This window comes from Homo sapiens, chromosome 8, assembly GCF_000001405.40.
Source record: "Homo sapiens chromosome 8, GRCh38.p14 Primary Assembly".
Lineage (NCBI taxonomy): Eukaryota > Metazoa > Chordata > Mammalia > Primates > Hominidae > Homo > Homo sapiens.
In genome coordinates this window covers 121,805,856-121,809,771 of record NC_000008.11, presented here as the reverse complement: position 1 = coordinate 121,809,771, position 3,916 = coordinate 121,805,856, and positions in this window count along the sequence as shown.

Sequence of the window (3,916 nt, the reverse complement as noted above, 5' to 3'; positions counted from 1 at the left end):
GGCAGAGGTTGCAGTGAGCTGAGATTGTGCCACTGCACTCCAGCCTGGGCGATACAGCGAGACTCTGTCTCAAAAAAAAAAAAAAAAAAAAGAGTAAGTGAAGGTATAGCAAGTGAAGTTTCCTAGTAAGAAAAATAGAGGCTTTACATAAGTTACTGACAGTGATGTCAAAAGTAGTAATAACGGGGATTACCAACAAGGGTAAGTCTGTTACCAGGAAGAGGTCTGATCCAGGCCCCAAGAGAAGGATCTTGGATCTCATGCAAGAAAGAATTCAGGGCAAGTCTATAAAGTGAAAGCAAGTTTATTAGGAAAGTAAAGGAATAAAAAATGGCTACTCCAAGGCTGGGCGTGGTGGCTCACTCCTGTAGTCCTAGCACTTTGGGAGGCCGAGGCAGGTGGATCACCTGAGGTCAGCAGTTCAAGACCACCATGGCCAACATGGTGAAACTCTGTCTCTACTAAAAATGTAAAAGCCAGGTGTGGTGGTGTGAGCCTGTAGTCCTAGCTACTTGGGAGGCTGAGGCAGGAGAATTGCTTGAACCTGGAAGACGGAGGTTGCAGTGAGCTGAGATTGAGCCATTGCACTCCAGCCTGGGCAACAGAGCAAGACTGTCTTAAAAAAAAAAAAGTGGCTACTGCATAGATAGAGCAGCTCCGAGGACTGCTGGTTGCCCATTTTTATGGTTATTTCTTGATGATATGCTAAACAAGGGGTGGATTATTCATGCCTCCCCCTTTTAGACCATATAAGGTAACTTCCTGACATTGCCGTGGCATTTTAAACTGTCACGGCACTGGTGGGAATGTAGGAATGAGGACGACCAGAGGTCACTCTTGTGGCCATCTTGGTTTTGGTGGGTTTTGGCCAGCTTCTTTACTGCAACCTGTTTTATCAGCAAGGTTTTTATGATCTGTATCTTGTGCCAACCTCCTCTCTCATCCTGTGACTTAGAATGCCTTAACCATCTGGGACATCAGCCCAGTAGGTCTCAGCCTCATTTTACCCAGCTCCTATTCAAGATGGAGTTGCTCTGGTTCAAATGCCTCTGACAAGTCTACCATACATTCTTTCCAAAAACCAGAAAATTCATTTGTAAAATTGTTTTAGTAAATGATTTGGCCAATGCAAAATTTTCTCACTCAGTGAATAAATGTTAGTGAGAGTTAAAAAGCTAACTAATTTGGTTTACATGGCTATTTTTAATGGAAATGAGACTTAGGGGTAGATTTAACATTTTAAAATAAATGGTTACATATGTAATTATTATGCATAAAACCATATATAATAAGGTAATCACATTTTATATCATATATAGGTATATAATCATAAAGAGTATAAACAGCTCTTATAAATTTCTTGCTAATATTTGTTTCAAGTATTTAGAGATTTTCAAAGTCATGACGTTTCTACCTCATGATTATTACAGCTTTGAACAATGTTGCTACTCTCTAAAATGTTTTCTTATGTAAGGAGAGTATCTACTAGTATGATCAGAACAAATTTAAGTAAATTAATTAAGACTCTTTTATCAGGTCAGGTGCAGTAGCTCATGCCTGTAATCCTAGCACTTTGGGAGGCCACGGTGGGTGGATCACCTGAAGTCTGAAGTTCGAGATCAGCCTGACCAACATGGAAAAACCCTGTCTCTACTAAAAATACAAAATTAGCTGGGCATGGTGGCACATGCCTATAATCCCAGCTACTCAGGAGGCTGAGGCAGGAGAATTGCTTGAACCCGGGAGGCAGAGATTGCAGTGAGCCGAGATCACACCACTGGAGCAAAACTCCGTCTCAAAAAAAAAAAAAAAAAGACTCTTTTATCTCCATTTATATGCTTATCCATTCACCAAACATAGAACACTCACCTATGTCAGTTACTGAATTTACATAGTCCTTATTTGTTTTTTAAAAAATCAGAGTTAAGAACAATTCAACTTATTTTGACAAAAATTTGTCTGCCACTCACAATGTACCAAGTACTTTGCTAGGTGCCTAAAATATAGCTATAATTTTTTTTCTGTGTTCCTTTATGGGCAATATTCTTAAAAACCATCCGATTGTAATGGTTGGTGTTGATTCACTAAAGAGAAGACCAGGCCAAAGTATTTCTTTTGTGAATCACTCTTAACCATCTGTGGTGGAGACGCCTTATTCCACTAAACCTCATCTTCATTGGCAAGCACACAAATGGGTATTCTCTCTCACCACTGTGGACAGTGGCAACCAGAAGCAGAGATTTGGAATGTCTAGGAGGGCCATCATCAAACAGCTCATGCATGATGGCTCTGAGGTCATCCAACTGTGCTATGGAGATAAGGCTGTATTTGTACGTTTCTCCTAAAATATATCTTACAGATTTCATTACAAATGATATATTCTTAATTTGAGGAGATGTACTGCTATTTTCTACTTTTTATAACAATACAAGGTAGCAAAAGGGAAACAAAAATTGTGTATTTGCGCCACCCAAGTAAAGAATGCCACATGTAATGGAGTATATCTTTATTCCCCTTGTGTGCTGCCTTCTCCTTAAGAAGATTAAGCATCCCTTTCTCATCCTATGAGACTTGTGTGGCCTCCTTATGAGGGGAGCATAATTCCCAATCTACTGAAGTGGATTTGGCCATGTGACTTTTTTTTCATCATTGAATGAACTGCATGCAGAAGTGGCTTGTGTGCCATGGGAGCAGAAACATTAAGAACTGTAACTTGTTCACTGTAACCCAGAATGAAACTGCTCCTACAGCTTGATCACAAAATGAGTAAGATGGTGCAAAGCCATAGATGGAAGCATAGTGGCAGCTGACTCTGCTGACCTATGCTGACATGGAATGTGAAAGGGATCTAAAACTTAATTGCTGTAATTTACCAAAATTTGGAGATTGTTTGTTCCTGTAGCATTACAAAGTGAAAGCTAAGTAATAAGAAGTTTACATGTCACTAGTAAAACTTAACTTCATTAGTTTGTAGTTATTGTCATTTCTACTTTTTATTTTATTTCACTTTTAGTTAATCTCTTGGTCATCGCTCTGCCATTAACCATTAGGGAAGCCTAGTTTCTTCCTTTTGAGGCCTTACTCTCAACCCCATTCTCATTCTTCTAATTACTCAAAAACCCTGGGCAATATAATCTGCTTTGTGCAAGAAAGACCAGTCCTCTAGGCAGAGAGGGAAAACAAACAAACAAACAAAAAAACACTAAAAAAAACTCCAATAAGTCCACCGGCATCCATGCTTTCTTCATGGCCATATGATGCAGCTATTGAAGATTAGTTCTGCTCAGACTAATAGAAACGTGTCCACTGATGTGAAATATAATTTATTACCCTGCATCTCTGGCATGGGCACATCACTTATTTTACATCCACGTGCTCAGGTGTCTTCCCCAAATGCAATCACATGTTGTGCTGGAAGTAACTTTTCTTTTCTAGCCTTTTCCCTCATGCTGAATTTAGGCTACCAGGCCACACACCACTTGCTTCACAGGAAGTTCCCTCTGTGTCATGGTGACCTTTTTAACCAGGAGACCCCCATCCACCATGGGAAGCTTCTCTAACATTGAATCACAGAGACAGTTTCAGATTAGCCCTATGACCCACGAACAAATGGTCCTTTTACAGACATTCTGAAGCCATTTGTATATACAGTCATTCATTTATAAAACCAAAAACCCCACCCATGAGCCTGTTCATAGGATAACAGTGACACTGTCAAGATGAATGACTGTGTCTCTGCATATATAGTGATGTATATGGAAGATCCCCTCAATTAAAAAAAAAAAAAAGTATCTTCTCACATTCATACAGATAATTCCTGGGCTGTCATCACTCCCACATCACTGTTGCAGCTCTAGTGTTCAGCAGGATGTTTAGTACATTTCAGGTGCTCCATAAATACCAGTTGAATAAACGG